General features: G+C 54.4%; 1 protein-coding gene across 2 annotated transcripts, besides 3 other annotated features; it reads left to right on the top strand.

Annotated features, from left to right (window-relative positions):
* Positions 950 to 1,505: an enhancer, noted in NCBI's record as "H3K27ac-H3K4me1 hESC enhancer chr16:75242541-75243096 (GRCh37/hg19 assembly coordinates)". NCBI's record gives its function as "activates a minimal SCP1, AML or CMV promoter by ChIP-STARR-seq in naive H9 embryonic stem cells {active_cell/tissue: H9 hESC(naive)}" and the evidence as "EXISTENCE:reporter gene assay evidence [ECO:0000049][PMID:30033119]".
* Positions 1,506 to 2,061: an enhancer, noted in NCBI's record as "H3K27ac-H3K4me1 hESC enhancer chr16:75243097-75243652 (GRCh37/hg19 assembly coordinates)". NCBI's record gives its function as "activates a minimal SCP1, AML or CMV promoter by ChIP-STARR-seq in naive H9 embryonic stem cells {active_cell/tissue: H9 hESC(naive)}" and the evidence as "EXISTENCE:reporter gene assay evidence [ECO:0000049][PMID:30033119]".
* Positions 10,833 to 10,912: an enhancer, noted in NCBI's record as "active region_11125". NCBI's record gives its function as "activates an Ori minimal core promoter by ATAC-STARR-seq in GM12878 lymphoblastoid cells {active_cell/tissue: GM12878}" and the evidence as "EXISTENCE:reporter gene assay evidence [ECO:0000049][PMID:35858748]".
* Positions 11,295 to 17,231, top strand: CTRB1 (chymotrypsinogen B1). 2 transcript variants are annotated; one of them, NM_001906.6, is made up of 7 exons: positions 11,295 to 11,366; positions 15,075 to 15,178; positions 15,276 to 15,355; positions 15,448 to 15,526; positions 15,755 to 15,935; positions 16,362 to 16,495; positions 17,012 to 17,231. In NM_001906.6, exons 1-7 carry the CDS (start codon positions 11,315 to 11,317, stop codon positions 17,171 to 17,173), a joined length of 792 nt encoding a protein of 263 aa, NP_001897.4. In that variant the 5' UTR covers positions 11,295 to 11,314; the 3' UTR covers positions 17,174 to 17,231. The 2 variants fall into 2 exon arrangements, with proteins under 2 accessions (NP_001897.4, NP_001316119.1); NM_001329190.2 differs by lacking the exon at positions 16,362 to 16,495.

Genomic DNA, 18,385 nt, shown 5'->3' on the forward strand with positions numbered 1-18,385 from the left:
GGAGGCGGAGGTTGCAGTGAGACGAGATTGCGCCACTACACTCCAGCCTTGTGACAGTGAGACTGTCTCAAAAAAGGAAAAAAAACAAAAAAAAAGAAAAAAACCCAATGGGCAATGTGACCAAGTAGAGGAGAGGCTGGGGGAGCAGGCCTGTGCCCCATGGTGTAGCCAGAGGCTGGGGTGCGGGTGCTCGCCGGGTCCCAGGGGATGGCTAAGAAGGCTCAGTGAAGGCCCAGTCGACATCTGTGTTGGTCACTTGGGCTGTGTACAGGGGAGGGGTAGCTACCTGCTGTCCTCACACTGGGCCACCCCTGCACACAGGCGCCAGCACACCTGGGCCCTGGAGCTGAGCAGGTGGCATCAGAGGGCAAGACTGGGCCTAGGGCCCGGCCTGGGGGCCTGGCATCGCCCTGATGAGAACTGATGGAGGCTGAGCCTCAGGGCAGAGCATGGGCGGGGACACCTGGTTCCTCGTGCGGGTGGCAGCATGGGTGGTGGAGCCCTTTCTCAGCAACTGGGAAACGGGGGAGGGAGAAATTTTGGATTGAGGCTGCCAGATGGAGGGCAAGTTCCCCAAAATGCACAGGAAAAGGTGCCTCGTGGCTGTTTTCAATTCCACCACACTGATGCCTGCAGCATGTGTGTTTACAGCACGGGTTGTGGGGTCAGGCAGCTGTGGAGCCGTGGGCAAATGACTTGCCCTCTCTGATCCTGTATGTAATTGAGGATGCTTAGAGTATGGGTCCCATGACAAAAGGAAGAGCCTTCTTGAGCACCAGGACCAGGCCAAGCATGCAATCCACGCTGGCGGGGCCCCTACATTCCTCTTTCTTGAGTGAATCACCTGTTCAGGCCCTTCGCTCATTCTAGAAGATTGTCTGAGGACAGAGGGGTTGGCGGGCACCAGCAGGACGGAGCATGGCCTGGTCGGGATGAGACGCACCCACCTCTGCATGCACATGGGCTCTTCCTGCCAGCCAGTGCCCACCAGGCCCACGGGAACAGCTGAACAAAACCAACAAATTCCTGCGTGTGGCAGCTGACAGCCGGGAGGAGGCTGGAGAGTTTAGGGAAGAGAGTCAATTTTTAAAATAAGTAAAATACACACACCAGCAGCTAAAGAGTTCTTCTTCTCATTATTATTACTGATACTGAGGCCAGGAGGGCCTCACTCTGAAGGGGAGATTTAAGCAAACAGCCTAGGAGTTTGTGGGAGCAGTCCAGAGCACCCTCGGAGGAGAGGAAACGAACCTGGGGTCGCAGGACCCAAAGAGGTCTGCGTCCCTAGGGCAGCGAAGAGCTCAGAAGTCGAGGGGGCGGGCCCAGGAGGGCCCTAAGGAGACGGTACTAGAGCCTCAGGGGCAGCCCCTAGCTATAAGCTGGCTGGGGCAGATGGGGGAAAGGGCGCAAGCCCTCACCTGGCCTGAGTGACCTGTGGCCCCAGCTGTGTGGCCTTAGGAGCTAACCGCTGGCCAGGACGTCACCCGCCATGTCCCCAACCCCGCAAAGGCTACAGAGGCTTGTGGGAACCGTGCAGCTGCAGCAGTGGTCGGGGACAGGCACGCACAGGTGTTCCCACTCCACTGCTCCTGGGGAAGGGACCCCTCCCCCACACTGCCCTCCAGTCCCCATGGGATCTGGACCCGAACGGCGAGGAAGGAGCCCGGGGACACTCAGGACAGATGAGTCAGGACACACGCGTGAGCCGGGGCCCTGGTGGATCGGGGAGGCAGAACCGTGGCCTTGGCCAGAGTGGGAGCGGGAGGGATGAGCTGGGGGTCCCCACGTGCTGCAGCCTCCTGGCCACCTCTTCCTTTACTTACCTTGAAATGCCCTCACTTAAAATGTATATAAAGCCAGGTGCAGTAGCTCATGCCTGTGATCCCAGCACTTTGGGAGGCCGAGGCAGGAGGCTCACTTGAGCCCAGGAGTTCAAGACCAGCCTGGGCAACATGGTGAGACCCCGTCTGTACAAAAAATAAATTAGTCAGGTGTGATGGCGCAGGCATGGAGTCCCAGATCCAGGCTGGGACTTGGGAAACTGAGATGGGAGGATCACTTGAGCGTAGGAGGTGGAGGCTGCAAGTGAGCGGTGATCATGCCACTGGACTCCAGCCTGGGCGACAGGGTGAGAGCCTGTCTCAAAAAAACAAAAACAAACAAACAAACAAACAACCAAACAAACAACGAAGTGGATATAGGTTGATAACTTGTGAGGATCCAGGCACCTCTGTACCCACCACCTGCCTCAAGGCAGAGACCATTTCCTTCACAGCCCCTTGGCAGTCAATCCCCCACCTCCAGAAGCAACCACTGTTCTGATTTCTTTACCCGGAGGTTAGGTTTTGGTTTTGGTTGAAAGAGGCTGGTTCTGATGCCCAGGCTGTAGTGCAGTGGCATGATCACGGCTCACTGCAGCCTCAGCCTCCTCAGCTCAAGCAATCCTCCCACCTCAGCCTCCTAAAGTGCTGGGATTACAGGTGTGAGTCATCGCACCAGGGGATGTTGTCGTTATTGTTAAATTTTAAAAACTGTTAGCAGCCAGGTGCAGTGGCTCATGGTTGTAATCCTTGCGCTTTGGGAGGCCAAGGGGAGAGGATCCCTTTAGCTCAGGAGTTCAAGACCAGCCTGGGCAGCATAGTGAGACCTGTCGCTAAAAAAAAAAAAAAAAAAAAAAAAAGCCAGGCATGGTAGCTGGCACCTGTAATCCCAGGTACTGGGGATGCTAAGGTAAGAGCATGGCTTGAGCCCGGGAGGAGGAGGTTGCAGTGAGCTGAGATCACGCCACTGCACTCCAGCCTGGGGGACAGAGCCAGACCTTGTCTCACACACACACACAAAACCAACTTTAAATTGTGGTAATACACATAACAAAATTGACCATTGCACCCGTTGTTTCTTTGCTTGTTTGTTTGCTTTTGAGATAGAGTCTCACTCTGTCGCCCAGGCTGGAGTGAAGTGGCATGATCTTGGCTCACTGCAAGCTCTGCCTCCCGGGTTCATGCCATGCTCCTGCCTCAGCCTCCTGAGTAGCTGGGACTATAGGCGCCCGCCACCACGCCCAGCTAATTTTTTTGTATATTTCAGTATAGATGGCGTTTCACTGTGTTAGCCAGGATGGTCTCGACCTCCTGACCTCGTGATCCGCCCACCCCGGCCTCCCAAAGTGCTGGGATTACAGGCTTGAGCCACCATGCCCGGCCCGCACCTGTTTTTAAGTGTACCATTCAGCGCTAAGCACGTCCACAGTGCCGTGCGGCCACTCATCTCACGGAACTGAAACTCTGAATCCTGCCCATCAGTTAGTTTTCGGGTTCTGGAATTTCATGTGAACAGAACCCAGGTGTTTCTGGAAATCCGGCTGCTTTCACTCAGCATCTGGTCTTTGGAGTTCACCCACGCTGTTGCAGAGAGCAGCAGTCTCTTCCTTTTTATTGCTGGAATGCACTACAGTTTGTCTATCTGTTCTGTAGTTTTGATCTATTATGAATAAAGCTGCTATAATAAATAAAACATATATTAAAACATCCAAAGGCAAGTCTTTATGCAGATGTGTGTTCATTTCTCTTGGGCAAACACCTAGGAGTAGGCCAGGCACGGTGGCTCACGCCTGCAATCCCAGCACTTTGGGAGGCTGAGGTGGGCAGCTCACTTGGGGTCAAGAGTTCAAGACCAGCCTGGCCAACATAGTGAAACCCTGTCTCTACTAAAAATACAAATAGTAGCCGGGCATGCTGATGTGTGCCTGTATTCCCAGCTACTCGGGAAGCTGAGGTGGGAGAATTGCTTGAACCCGGGAGGCGGAGGTCGTGGTGAGTCGACCAAGCCATGGCACTCCAGCCTGGGTGGCAGAGCAGGACTCCGTCTCAAACAAAATATATGAGTAGAACAGCAGGGTCGTAGGCTGGGCCTGTGTTTATGGAAACTGTCAAAGTGTTTTCTCAGTGGCCATCTACTTTTCCTTCATAGCAAAGCAAAGCAAAGCAGGATCTGAGTCTGCAGCCCCCTCTGAGCATCTGCCCTTCTGAGAGGCACCTTCATAAAATTCCCTTGCCCCCTTCCGAAAGGCAGAGGACTTGGGAGCTGGTACACAGTGGGTTAGGAGGTGAGACCCTTCTCTTTTTTTTTTTTTTTGAGACAGGGTCTCACTCTGTCACCCAGGCTGGAGTACAGTGGCACGATCACGGCTCAGCACAGGCTTGACCTCCCAGGTCCAGCCTCCCAGTTAGCTGGGACTACAGGTGTGGGCCACCATGCCTGGCTAATTTTTGTATTTTTTTGTAGAGACAAGATCTCCCTATGTCGCCTAGGCTGGTCTCAGACTCCTGGGTTCAAGCAATCTGCCCGCTTCGGCTGCCCAAACTGCTAGGATTACAGGTGTGAGCCACTGTGCCTGGCCAGGACCTTTCTCACAGCACCAGTGGGCTTGTCTAAACTTACCAAGTGGAGCGATTTAATGGAATGGTTCTTTGCCTAAACCCTTTCCGCTGGGTTTTGTCCCTCACCAAATGAGGCTGGGGGAATGTTTTTTTAGAGAAAGCACAGGGTGCTCCCTGAGCCAACGAGATCCCATGCAGCTTGCTTAGAAAACAATTGTCCCCCTGCTCCATGTTGATGCCTGGCTAGCAATAGTGGGGAGATGGGCTGGGGGGCGTTTCCTGACCCAGGAGGACAGCGAGTGTGGGCGCCGGATGTCCAGCAGGCGCTCAGCCCTTGTGGAGATCAGTGACATCTGCCCAAATGGGAACCAGCGGGGGCTGCTTATTCAGAGCTTGCCACAGCAAGGGAGTCGGCCTCTGTCACTTGCATTGACTAAGACGCCAAGGCCGGCAGGGTGGAGGGAAAGCTTCATGGAGGGAAGGGGAAGGCTCGCTGTGTCCTGGCTGGTGGCTATTGGTGTGGGGAAGTGGGAGGCAGGCTGCTGTGTGGTCTGCGTGTTTGTCCTACTGACACTTGTATGGAAATGTTATTAGTTTTTTGTGTTTTGTGTGTGTTTTTTTTTTTTAAGAGTCAGGGTCTTGCTTTGTTGGTCCAGGCCGGAGTGCAGTGGTGCGATCACAGCTTACTATATAGCCTTGACCTCCTGGGCTCAAGCGACTCTCCCATCTCAGCCTCCCGAGTAGCTGGGACCACAGGTACACGCCACCACCCTGGCTAATTATTTATTTTTGCAGAGATGAGGTTTCAACATGTTACCCAGGCTCATCTTGAACTCCTGGGCTCAAGTGATCCGCCTGCCTTGACCTCCCAAAGCACTGGAGTTACAGGTTTGAGTCACTGCACCTGGCCGCATTGTTTGTATTAACAGGTGGGACCTGTAAGTGGTGATTAGCGTGTGGGATGGGGGGGGTGGGGCTCTGCTTCCCAGGTGGGATTAATGCCATTATATTAATAAAAGGCAAGCAACCCCCCTCGCGTCTCTCTTTGCCCTTCCACCTTCCACCAGGTGAAGATATGGAGTTCAAGACATCAGCCTGTGGCCAGGGTCGCCCACCCTGCCTGTTGACTTTGGACTTGCAGCCTTCAGAACTGTGAGAAAATACATTTCTATCCACTATAAATGACCCAGTCTGAGGTATTCTGTCCCGCAGCACTCAGGGCCTCAGGAGGCCTTCAGGCGCGCTCCGAACTCCGAGTGGGCGTCTTCTGTGACTGTCAGGGCGTGTGTGGCTTTTTAGGGCTGGCCGGTGGGGCTGCTGCTGTTTGGAGCCCTGGGCTTGTTGCTGCGCAGCGGGCAGAGTTCTGGTTTTTTAGGCGGTCTGTCCCCTGTTCGCGTGTGTATTCAGTCTCTCCCCTTCCATGCAGAGTTTTGTGGCACAGGCGTGGGTACCGGGAGTTGCAAAGAGCTGGGGCCATTTCTCAGTTGACGGCAGGATCTGCTCTTGGAGGTGGTGGGGATTGGTGGGGTGGGTTCTACGGAGAATTGGCATTCTCTTGTGAGGCCACCACCCTGGTTATCACTGAGAGCTCTGATGGAGAGACAGGTCGGCTCCCTCAGCCGCAGTAAGGGGATGCCCGTGTGGGCGAGGGAGTCTGGGGGAGATTTGGGTTCCGGGTTCTTTATCCTTGTTCTGTCTGCCTAAAAGCCCTTGCCCTGTGTCTCAGGGTGCCCACGCCTGTTGTGTAGTTCCTTAGCTTAGGGAGCACGGTGGGGTTGGGCATAGTGTATTTAACAATTTTTTTTTTTTTTTTGAGACAGGGTCTCACTCTGTCGTCCAGGGTGCAGTGTAGTGGCGCGATCTCGGTTCACTGCAACCTCCGCCTCCCGGGTTCAAGCGATTCTCCTGCCTCAGCCTCCTGAGTAGCTGGGATTACAGGCATGTGCACTACACCCAGCTAATTTTTATGTTTTTTGTAGCAATGGGGTTTTGCCACGTTGGCCAGGCTGGTCTTGAACTTCTGACCTCAGGTGATCTGCCTGCCTGGCCTCCCAAAGTGCTGGGAGTATAGGTGTGAGCCACTGCGTCTGTCCTAACAGGTCTTGCACCTCTACCTCTGACAGGCCCCTGGCTTGTCCTCAGCCACGTCTGTCCTGTGGCCCCCGGGAGATGGGGGCTCCTCCAACGCCTTCTGATTGTCAGCCACGCTCTAGGCTGAATATTCCCTTCCTTCAGCTTCTCCTTTTGCCTGAATTTGCTCTCCATAGCCATTGGACGAAGACTTCTGACTCCATAATACTTAACAGCTTTACCGAGCTGTTAAGAGCTGTTATGTGTAATTCACATACCATACAATTCGCCCATGTAAAGTGTGCAATTTGATGGATTTTGGTTTATTCCACTGATTTTATTTAATTATGGTAAAATATAGGTAACATAAAATTCGCTGTTTTAACCGTTTTTTTTTTTTTAGACGGAGTTTCACTCTTGTTGCCCAGGCTAGAGTGCAATGGTGCAATCTCAGTTACCGCAACCTCCGCCTCCCAGGTTCAAGCAATTCTCCTGCCTCAGCCTCCTGAGTAGCTGGGATTACAGGTGCATGCCACCACACCCGGTTGATTTTTGTATTTTTAGCAGAGATGGGGTTTCTCCATGTTGGTCCGGCGGCTGGTCTCGAAATCCTGACCTCAGGTGATCAGCCTGCCTTGGCCTTCCAAAGTGCTGGAATTACAGGTGTGAGCCACCGTGCCCAGCCCATTTTAACCATTTTTAAGTGTACAATTAGTGGCGCTAATTACATTCTACAATACTAATTACATTCAGAATTTGTGCGAGCATCACCACTATTTACAAAATTCTGTACCCAGTGAACAATAACTCTGCATTCCTCTCTCCCCTCAGTGCCTGTGGGCCTCTAACCTAGTTTTTGTCTTTATGAATTTGCCTATTAAGAATGTTTCATGGCCGGGTGTGGTGGCTCATGCCTGTAATCCCAGCACTTTGGGAGGCTGAGGCGGGCAGATCACGAGGTCAGGAGATCGAGACCATCTTGGCTAACATGGTGAAACCCCGTCTCTACTAAAAACACAAAAAATTAGCCGGGCGTGGTGGTGGGCGCCTGTAGTCCCAGCTACTTGGGAGGCTGAGGCAGGAGAATGGCGTGAACCTGGGAGGCAGAGCTTGCAGTGAACCGAGATGATGCCACTGCCCTCCAGCCTAGGCGACAGAGCGAGACTCTGTCTCAAAAATAAATAAATAAAAATAAAGTTTCATTTATTAGCTGGGTGTGGTGGCGCATGCCTGTAATCCCAGCTACTCAGGAGGCTGAGGCAGGAGAATGGGGTGAATCTGGGAGGTGGAGGTTGCAGTTGAGCCGAGATCATGCCACTGCACTCCAGCCTGGGCGACAGAGTGAGACTCTGTTTCAAGAATAAAGTAAATAAAGATGAGACACTCCAAGTCAGCCAGGCGTGGTGGCTCACAAAAAAGTTTTTCAAAAAAAGGTTTCATATAAATGGAATCATGCAATAATTGTCTTTGTATTGCTTATTTTCAGGTAGCAGACATCATTTTAGATTCGGCTGGGTGTGGTGGCTCACGCCTGTAATCCCAGCATTTTGGGAGGCCGAGGCGGGTGGTTCACAAAGTCAAGAGATTTTGAGACCATCCTGGCCAACATGGTGAAACCCGTCTCTACTAAAAATACAAAATTAGGTGGGTGTGGTGGCAGATCCCTGTAATCCCAGCTGCTCCGGAGGCTGAGGCAGGAGAATTGTTTGAACCCGGGAGCCGGAGGTTGCAGGGAGCCAAGATTGCACCACTGCACTCCAGCCTGGGCAACAAGAGCAAAACTCTGTCTCAAAAAAAAAAAATCCATCTTTTGGCGTATATCAGTACCTGATTCATTTTGTTTTGTTTTTGTGTTTGTGTTTGAGACAGGGTCTCGCCCTGTTGCCCAGGCTGGAATGCAGTGGCACAGACACAGCTCACTTCAGCCTTGACCACCTGCGCTCAAGCGATCTTCCTGCCTCAGACTCCCATGTAGCTGGGACCACAGGCACATACCACCACACCCAGCTGATTTAAGAAAAAAATTTTTGTAGAGACGGGGTGTTTGTTGCCAAGGCTGGTCCTCAAACTCCTGGCCTCCCACAGTGCAGGGATTACAGGTGTGAGCCCCCACACCAGGCCTGCTTCATTCCTTCTTATGACTGAATAATAGTCCTGTGGAGAGCTCATGTCTTACTCATTCCTCTGCTGATGAACAACAGGGGTGATTTCTGTCTTTTGGCTGTTGGGAATAGTGCTGCTGTGAACACTGGTGTGCGAGTGTCTGCTTAAGTCCTTTTATTTAGGGGGAGTGGAATTGTCAGGTCATGAGGTAACTCTGTTTATTTTGTGGAATTGCCAAACTGTTTTCTTTGCACTTCTTTTTACTCTTTTTTTTGAGACAAGGCCTTGCTCCGCTGCCTAGGCTGGATCTCGGCTCACTGCAGCCTCGATCTCCCAGGCTCAAGTTATCCTCCTACTTCATCCTCTTGAGTAGCCGGGACTATGCCACCACGCCACCATGCCCAGCTAATGTTGTTTTTTTTAAATTTTTTTGTAGAGATGGGGTCTCACTTTGTTGCCCAGGCTGGTGTTGGACTCCTTGGCTTAAGTGATCCTCCCACCTTGGCCTCCCACAGTGCCAAGATTCCAGGCGTGAGCCACTGTGCCCAGCCATGCCGAACTGTTTGCATAGCAGCTTCACCATTTTACATTCCCAGCAGCAATGTATGAGGGTTCCAGTTTTTCCACATCCCACACTTGTTATTTTCTGTTTCTTTAAATTGTAGCTATCAGCCTGGTGTGCTGGCTCACGCCTGTAATCCCAGCACTTTCGGAGGCCGAGGTGGCTGGATCGCTTGAGGTCAGGAGTTGGAGATCATCCTGGCCAACATGGCAAAACCCCATCTCTACTAAAAATACAAAAATTAGCTGGGCATGGTGGCAGACGCCTGTAATCCCAGCTACTTGGGGGGACTGAGGCAGGAGAATCGCTTCAACCTGGGAGGCAAAGGTTGCAGTGAGCTGAGGTCACACCCCTGCACTCCAGCCTAGGCGACAGAGCAAGACTCTGTCTCAGGGGAAAAAGAAAAAAAAAGGGTAACATGGTGATGTGAACTTTTGAAATTTTCTCTTTAGTATATAAGTTTAGTTTTGCTTTATAGTTGTGCATTCTCCAGCAGCGGTGGGAGTGGGGAGGGGATATTCTAAATGCCAAGGTGACCTGGCCCGCTGACCACAGAGCCCAAGGCCTTCCATGGAAACACCATCCACCCACTGTGTCTTACTTTCATACCCTCATCGTCCGGAAATGCAGTACAGCCTGTCCTGTCCAGCCTTGCCCCAGGTGACTGTGGTCACTATATTACATGCTCATCTGTGTCGTGTGTGTCTGTCATGAGCGTCTCAGGCCCATAAGGGCAGGGATGCTGCGGGCTCTGTCCCCTGAATATCTGCCCACAGGGTGCTGAGGATCCCTTGGCCTTCACTTTCTGCCCAGTCACCGACCTGTCACCCACACCTGTCTTTCCTCCTTGTTTTGTGACAATGAAAAAAGTTTTTCTGCTTCCTCAAAATTTATTTTCAGACAGGCGCAGTGACTCACGCCTGTAATTTCAGCACTTTAGGAGGCCAAGGCCACAGGATCACCTGAGGCCGGGAGCTCAAGAGGAGCCTGGCCAACGTGGTAAAACCCTGTCTCTACTAAAAATACAACAATTGGCCAAGTGCGGTGGCTAACGCCTGTAATCCCAGCACTTTGGGAGGCCGAGGAAGGTGGATCACCCGAGATCAGGAGTTTGGGACCAGCCTGGCCAACATGGTGAAACCCCGTCTCTACTAAAAATATAAAAATTAGCCAGGTTTGGTGCTATGCCTGTAATCCCAGCTACTCAAGAGGCTGAGGTGGGAGAATTGCTTGAACCTGGGAGGTGGAGGCTGCAGTGAGCCAAGATTGTGCCACTGCACTCCAGCCTAGGCAGCAGAGCAAGACCCCATCTCAAAAAAAAAAAAAAATAGCTGGGTGTGGTGGGCACCTGTAATCCCAGCTACTTGGGAGGCTGAGGCAGGAGAATCAGTTGAACCCGGGAAGAGGAGGCTGCAGTGAGCTGAAATTGCGCCACTGCACTCCGGCCTGGGTGACAGAGTGAGACTCCATCTTAAAAAGTTTGTTTTCTGTGTCATTTTATGGTGCGGAATCCAAGTTCCATTTTGTAAGAAACTGAAACTTTATGAAATGATTAGTTCCTTATATCATGAGTCATTGCAGAAAAAGTGAATTCTGTTGGGTTCTACAGCACAGGTGGGACGCGTGTCAGTGGCTTTGCCCACCTGTTACGGCCACCAGCGGGTTGGTCCTTGTCACCCAGACCCTCGCCACAGTCAGAAGTGGCTTGGCTTCACTGGTGACTTGCAGTGACACTCTGGAGAATCCACGATGCCCTGAGTCACCCTTTGCTTCTAGGACAGTGTTAGGCGGAAACACCCTTCACTGAGAGCCTGAGTTCCCGGAGACCTGGTTCCATGACAGCAGCTGGTCCTCCACGAGCCCTGGGGTGGAACTGCCTCCACTTCCCCTCTGGGAACAGAAGAGCCTGGTGCCGTCTCCTGGCAGGGATACTGCAGCTCACAGCTGGCTCTGTGGGATCATGTCCCCAAGGCTGACCGGTGATGTCAGCGCAGCTGCCCCTTTCCCAGGGACTGGGGTTGTCTGGTAGAGAGCCAGGCGGGGCTCTGTCTCCACTTATTGCCCAAGGTCCCTGGGTAACAGGGAGGGTGGGCTCAGGCCTCCCTGGCTGGGGGAGCGGGGGGGGCTGGGCTCCCTGCCCCCCCAAGGTGGTAAAAGGGGCCCCGCAGCTGGCAGGCCCCACACCTTCTGAGGCAGCGGCATGGCTTCCCTCTGGCTCCTCTCCTGCTTCTCCCTTGTGGGGGCCGCCTTTGGTGAGTGCTGGTGCCCGAGGGGTCTGTCCTGAGGGAGCCCTGAGCCTGGCTGAGAGGGGGATCTGAGTCCCCTGCTCTGCCCCCTGGGGCCTCATCCCCAGCACAGGTAACCTGAGGGCTCAGGAGAGGGTGCATTCTGGGGCTTTCTGAGCCCACACAACCTGCTCCAGGAGTGGGAAGGACGATGCTGGTCTCTGCCATGGTCTGAGGCTCCAGAAGTGGCTGGGGTGGGGGTGCCTTGTGCAGGGTAAGGTGTGGCCCCAGGAGACCTCCCAAGGCCTCCACCGGGGTTTTTATTGTGCTGGGTACTTGTCAAGCATTTTCTTCCTTTCTTTCTTTTTTTTTTTTCGAGACAGAATTTCACTCCTATTGCCGAGGCTGGAGTGCAATGGTGCAATCTCCACTTACTGCAACCTCCATCTCCTGGGTTCAAATGATCTTCCTGCCTCAGCTTCCCGAGCAGCTGGGACTACAGGCATGGACCACCAACCCTGGCTAATTTTTAGTAGAGACGGGCTTTCACCACGTTGGCCAGGCTGGTCTTGAACTCCTGACCTCAGGTGATGCCCCCGCCTCGGCCTCCCAAAGTGCTGGGATTACAGGCATGAGCTACTGTGCCCAGCCGTGTTTTCTATTTTTTAAAAGAGAAATAGTAAAAGAAAATACAGAAAAGAATATGACATCCTTGTATCTACTGTCAGAATTCAGCAAATCTTTTTGCACATTTGCTTCAGATATTTCTAAAACAGATTGTACTCAGGCTTCCCTTTTCTCCCTCCTTCCCTCTCTGGAATGTGAGCTTGATTCTGAACTTTCTATGAATAATTGCAGTGTGAGCTTATACAATTGTACTACATATTTTTATACATCTATACATAAGGTTTCAAAAAGGTTACATCAATGGAACGGTATTCTATCCTGTTTTTGGTTTTGGTTTTGGTTTTGGTTTTGAGACAGGGTCTCACTCTGTCACCCAGGCTGGAGTGCAGTAGTGTGAGTTTGCAGCCTCAAACTCAAGGGCTCGAGTGATCCTCCCACTATAGCCTCCCGAGTAGCTGGCGCTACAGGCACGCTAAGTTTAAAAACTTGTTTTGTTTTGTAGAGATGGAGGTTTTTTTTGTTATTTTTTTTTCTTTTCTTTGAGACAGAGTTTCACTCTTGTCACCCAGGCTGGAGTGCAGTGGCGTGATCTTGGCTCACTGCAACCTCCGCCTCCTGGGTTCAAGCATTTCTCCTGCCTCAGCCTACTGAGTAGCTGGGATTACAGGCATGCATCACCACACCTGGCTAATTTTTGTATTTTTAATAGAGATGGGGTTTCACCATATTGGTCAGGCTGGTCTTGAACTCCTAACCTCCAGTGATCCGCCCACCTCAGCCTCCCAAAGTGATGGGATTACAGGCGTGAGCCCCCATGCCCGACCTGGGGTCTTATTATGTTGTCCAGGCTGGTCTCGAAATCCTGTGCTCGAGTGATCTGCTCACCTCAACCTCCCAGGGTGCTGGATTACAGGTGTGAGCCACTGTGCCTGGCTGATGTAACTAATACTCCATTCTACCTCCATTCTACAACAATGTGCTTTTTCCCTACTCAAATCTTCTCACTTCCTGCATGTTGACGTGGAGTTTCAGCTCATTCACCTGCATTTTTATAATGCGTGCTCTGTTGTGTGAGTATGCCACCATCTAGTTCTCTTATTTATTTATTTATTTTTTTAGATGGAGTTTCACACTTGTCGCCCTGGCTGGAGTGCAGTGGCATGATTTCGGCTCACTGCAACCTCCACCTCCCAGGTTCAAGCATTTCTCCTGCCTCAGCCTCCTGAGTAGCTGGAACTACAGGCATGAGCCACCACCCCAGCTAATTTTTGTATTTTTAGTAGAGACAGGGTTTCATCATATTGGCCAGGCTGGTCTTGAACTCCTGACCTTGTGATCCACCTGCCTCGGCCTTCCAACGTGCTCTTTCTCATTTTTTTGCTATTACAATACCAGTTTTTGATGCTCTGAAACGTCAGGGAGGCACCTTGCCTGCCTGTGTTCCTGTGGGCAGGAGACGCAGGGGCTGCCTTGTAAGCAGGCGAATATGACCCCAGAAGGGGACAGCTGGTCTGAGGGACGCGGGTGTGCTCAAATGTAAAGCCCAGTTTGTTGGGTTGGCCCGCGCACAGGAGTCGAGAATCTGGTCCTGACATAGCAGAGGCATGGTGGGCGTGTGTGGAACACCTGACTATTTTCATTGTTTTGTTTTCTGCTTCCAATGTGCCATTTTATGGTGTGGAAGTAAAGTCCAGCTGTGTTTGTTTTGATTTTTTCTTGAGATGGAGTTTGGCTCTGTCACCCAGGCTGGAGTGCAGTGGCACGATCTCAGCTTACTGCAACCTCTGTCCCCCAGGTTCAAGCGATTCTCCTGCCTCAGCCTCCCAAGTAGCTGGGATTGTAGGCCTGTGCCACCATGCCCGGCTAATTTTTGTATTTTTAGTAGAGATGGGGTTTTACTATGTTGGCCAGGCTGGTCTTAAATTCCCAACCTCAGGTGATCCACCCCGCTTGGCCTCTCAAAGTGTTAGGATTACAGGCGTGAGCCACTGTGCTGGCCAAAGTCCAGTTTTATTAAATAAGAAACCAAGACCGGATATATGGGGGCTCATGCCTGTGATCTCAGCATGTTGGGAGATCAAGGCAATAGGATTGCTTCAGCCCGGGAATTTGAGGTTGCAAGGCTGGGCACGGTGGCTCACGCCTGTAATCCCAGCACTTTGGGAGGCCGAGGCGGGTGGATCACAAGGTCAGGAGATCGAGACCATCCTGGCTAACACGGTGAAACCCCGTCTCTACTAAAAATACAAAAATTAGCTGGGCTTGGTGGCGGGCACCTGTAGTCCCAGCTACTCGGGAGGCTGAGGCAGGAGAATGGCGTGAACCCAGGAGGCGGAGCTTGCAGTGAGCCAAGATTGTGCCACTGTACTCCAGCCTGGGCAACAGAGCAAGACTGTCTCAAAAAGAAAAAAAAAAAAAAAAAAAAAAGGAATTTGAGGTTGCAGTGGGCCATGATGACACCACGGCACTCCAGCCAGGGTGACAGAGCAAGACCCTAACTGGAAAAAAAAAAAAGAGAAACCCAAACTTTACACAATGTTTCCTGAAATTGTGGAATTCAACCTGCCCACCCAGGGTCCACGGTGCCATTTCACTCTCCCGTCTGCAAATTGTCAGAGCCCCAGATTCCTGGTGGACTTGGGGTTATCAGATTTTCTTCCCACTTCCCCTCTCGCCACCAGTCTAACAAAGGCACGTGGGCCAGTGGAGCTCACGTGGTTCTGCTGCCCTTTTTATAGCTGAGGACACCAAGGCCTGAGTGCTGCCCTGCCCGGTCTAGGGTCACACGGCAAGGAAAGTGTGTCCTCGAGGCTGAGCCCAGGCAGTCTTACAGCCCGGCCTGTTTTCTGCTTCTTCAGGCTGGACAGGCCCCAGGTAGGAGGAGACATGACGCTCTGCATCCTGGAAGGATGACTGGAGCCAGCAGGCCGAGAGTTGGGAACGTTTGAGCCTAGAGACTTGGGGACCAGGGAGGCGGAGGCGGCATGTGCCAGGGAGGTCCTGAGCTGGCTTCAGTGGACTGGGGTAGAACCGGGAGAGCTGCACGCAGGCAGGTGAGGCCCAGGTGGGTTTGGGGCCTCAGCCCTTATTCACCCCACTCCCCCCCAGGCTGCGGGGTCCCCGCCATCCACCCTGTGCTCAGCGGCCTGTCCAGGATCGTGAATGGGGAGGACGCCGTCCCCGGCTCCTGGCCCTGGCAGGTGTCCCTGCAGGTGAGGGGGTTCTGCAAGGTGGGGGGCACCCTGGGTAGGGGCCAGGCTGGGGGTGCCCCCGGGTGGGAGGTGCTGACCCTCCCCATCTTGCTCACAGGACAAAACCGGCTTCCACTTCTGCGGGGGCTCCCTCATCAGCGAGGACTGGGTGGTCACCGCTGCCCACTGCGGGGTCAGGTGAGGACCGGGCAGCCTTGGGCTCCGCTTCCAGCACCGGTCGGGTGGGAGGGGAGCAGGGCATGTTCTCTCACCCACAACGCTCTGCCCAGGACCTCCGACGTGGTCGTGGCTGGGGAGTTTGACCAGGGCTCTGACGAGGAGAACATCCAGGTCCTGAAGATCGCCAAGGTACCCAGGCCCCGTGCAGCAGAGGGCAGGGCCGTGGGCACGGGGGGAGACCCCTCGGCTGCTTCAGGGACAGGCGCCCAGTGGGGCCGGGCCGGCCTCGAGATTCCCATTCCGGCCCTGGGGATGGACTGCTCCTTAACGGGCACCAGGGAAGGAGTCTGTCCTCGAAGCCTGCAGGTCCTGCCTCCTCCCAGGGCCTCACCCCGGCACTCTGGCCCCCACCCCCAGGTCTTCAAGAACCCCAAGTTCAGCATTCTGACCGTGAACAATGACATCACCCTGCTGAAGCTGGCCACACCTGCCCGCTTCTCCCAGACAGTGTCCGCCGTGTGCCTGCCCAGCGCCGACGACGACTTCCCCGCGGGGACACTGTGTGCCACCACAGGCTGGGGCAAGACCAAGTACAACGGTGAGGGGCCGCGGGGCTGCCTCTGGGGTCTGGGCTGCCTGGCCGTGGAGTCCCCCCGTGACCGTTTGGCTCTAAATTCCAACACGCTCCTAACTGCCCGTTCGTTATTGAAAATCTTCTGAATTTAAAATCCCCCAAATGCAAATAAAATCCAGGTCGGATCATGAGGAGCCTGCACAGGGAGCTTCTGAGCAGCGCCCGGCCGGGTGAGCCCTGCCCTGGCTGACCTGCCTGGAGTCGCAGCGTGGGGCTCCCACCCGGGCAGGGCCGAGGCCCCCTTGTCCCACAGGCGCTTCTGAGGCTCCAGGGGCCGTACCCAACATCGTGGTGATGGTGCAGGGTAGGGCAGGCGTGTCGGCCCCGGGTCTCTCCCTCCACTCTTGGCTGAGTGAGCCCAGGGGCCCTGACCCTCCTCCTGTCCTGCAGCCAACAAGACCCCTGACAAGCTGCAGCAGGCAGCCCTGCCCCTCCTGTCCAATGCCGAATGCAAGAAGTCCTGGGGCAGGAGGATCACCGACGTGATGATCTGTGCCGGGGCCAGTGGCGTCTCCTCCTGCATGGTGAGGCTGGCCCTGCCCAGGCCCTGGCCAGGCGAGCGGGGTGCAGGGGAGGTCTGGGCTTTCCACCCCTCTCTGCTCTCATCTACTAACCCCACTCCTTCCTGGGTGTCAGAGTCGCCTTGTTGCAAAATTCCATGGCCAATGTCAGAGCCAATGGCTCTTGGAGTTGTGCAGTGCACAATCTGGACCGTGGATCCCAGCAGGACAGCGGGCTCCAGCAGCCCTCCCTCCCTCACACGGACCCCTTGGCCAGCCCCACCATGCTCTTCCTCCTATTGGTCAAACCAGCTTTACTGAGCTGCCATTAAAGGGTCCCATTCCAGGGCTGGCTCAGGCTTCCAGGGGCATGAACCACATAAGCAGCTACTAGGGTCTTTCATAACCCACGCAACAGCACATGCTGAGCCTTTGCTGTGTGTGGGGTCCTGGACTGGACTCTGGGAACAATGTCCAGTGGCCCCTGGGACCAGTCTGTCTCGGCTGCCAGATCCAAGCCCCCTTCTCCCTCTCCCACAGGGCGACTCTGGCGGCCCCCTGGTCTGCCAAAAGGATGGAGCCTGGACCCTGGTGGGCATTGTGTCCTGGGGCAGCGACACCTGCTCCACCTCCAGCCCTGGCGTGTACGCCCGTGTCACCAAGCTCATACCTTGGGTGCAGAAGATCCTGGCTGCCAACTGAGCCCGCGGCTCCCTCCGACCCTGCTCCCCACAGAGCCTCAGTAAACCCATGGAACACACGTCGGCGCTGTCCGTCTTCTGTTTTGGGGCCTCCAAGGCCTCACTCCACTCCGGAACCTGGGCCCCCACTGGGCTGGACTGGGCTGGGCTAGGCATGGGCGGCCTCTGGGAGGACCCTTCCTTAGTCCCCTCTCCCACCACTCAGGCTCCTGCTTCCCAGAGAGTGGCCAGGAACACACGGGCAGATGAAAAGGGGTGCAGAGACAGACGGGGGATCTGGCTGGTGGGGACCGGGTGGACCTTGGCCCCCATCCTCAGCACCTGCCCCCAGGCGACAGGTTCTTGCCACCCACCCTTGCTCTCTTGCTCTGGGCCCTGCAGGAGGGCGTGGGCAGCGTGGGGGCTGTGGGGGGATGAGCTCACTCTGGCCCCACAGACCTGTGGCTCCAAGGAATCTTCCCACGGCCACTCCTAGGGCTGCCAGACATACGCTGGAGCCAGGAGCGTTATCAACGCAAGGACTGGTGATGAGGTGGGTGGTGTCGAGGTGGGCCGTGATTGGTGGGCTCAGGGGACAGTATGGGGACCCTCTGACATCCCATGGCCTTTCTCTGGATCACTGGCTTCCCCCTGGCAGTGACTTTTTTTTTTTTTTTTTTGAGACAGAGTCTCACTCTGTCGCCCAGGCTGGGGTGCAGTGGTGCGATCTCACCTTCCAAGTAGCTGGGACTACAGGCGCCCGCCACCATGCCCGGCTAATTGTTTTGTATTTTTTTAGTAGAGACGGGGTTTCACCGTGTTAACCAGGATGGTCTCGATCTCCTGACCTCGTCATCCGCCCGCCTTGGCCTCCCAAAGTGCTGCGATTACAGGCCTGAGCCACCGCGCCCAGCCCTATGGCAATGACTCTTAAAAGTTCGAGGCTCAGGCAGGCCGGGAGCCCCAGGTCAAACATGCCCATCCCCAGCCCCAAATGCCCAGAAGCAAAAAGCCCGCCGTGCCATGTTTCATCAAGGCACCACATCCTCCGTGGCCAGATCGTCCTCCCCTTCCTCCTCACACCCTGCCAGCTGGCCCCCGCCCCTCTGGCCGCTACCCCCACCCCCTCGGCCGTGCTTGGGGCATCTGTTTCCTCCCTTCCTTAGCCCCCGCACCCTCAGACCCTCCACACCCTACGATTCTGCCTCCTGAGGGGCTCCTGCATCCACGCCTT

Source organism: Homo sapiens, chromosome 16 (assembly GCF_000001405.40).
Source record: "Homo sapiens chromosome 16, GRCh38.p14 Primary Assembly".
Lineage (NCBI taxonomy): Eukaryota > Metazoa > Chordata > Mammalia > Primates > Hominidae > Homo > Homo sapiens.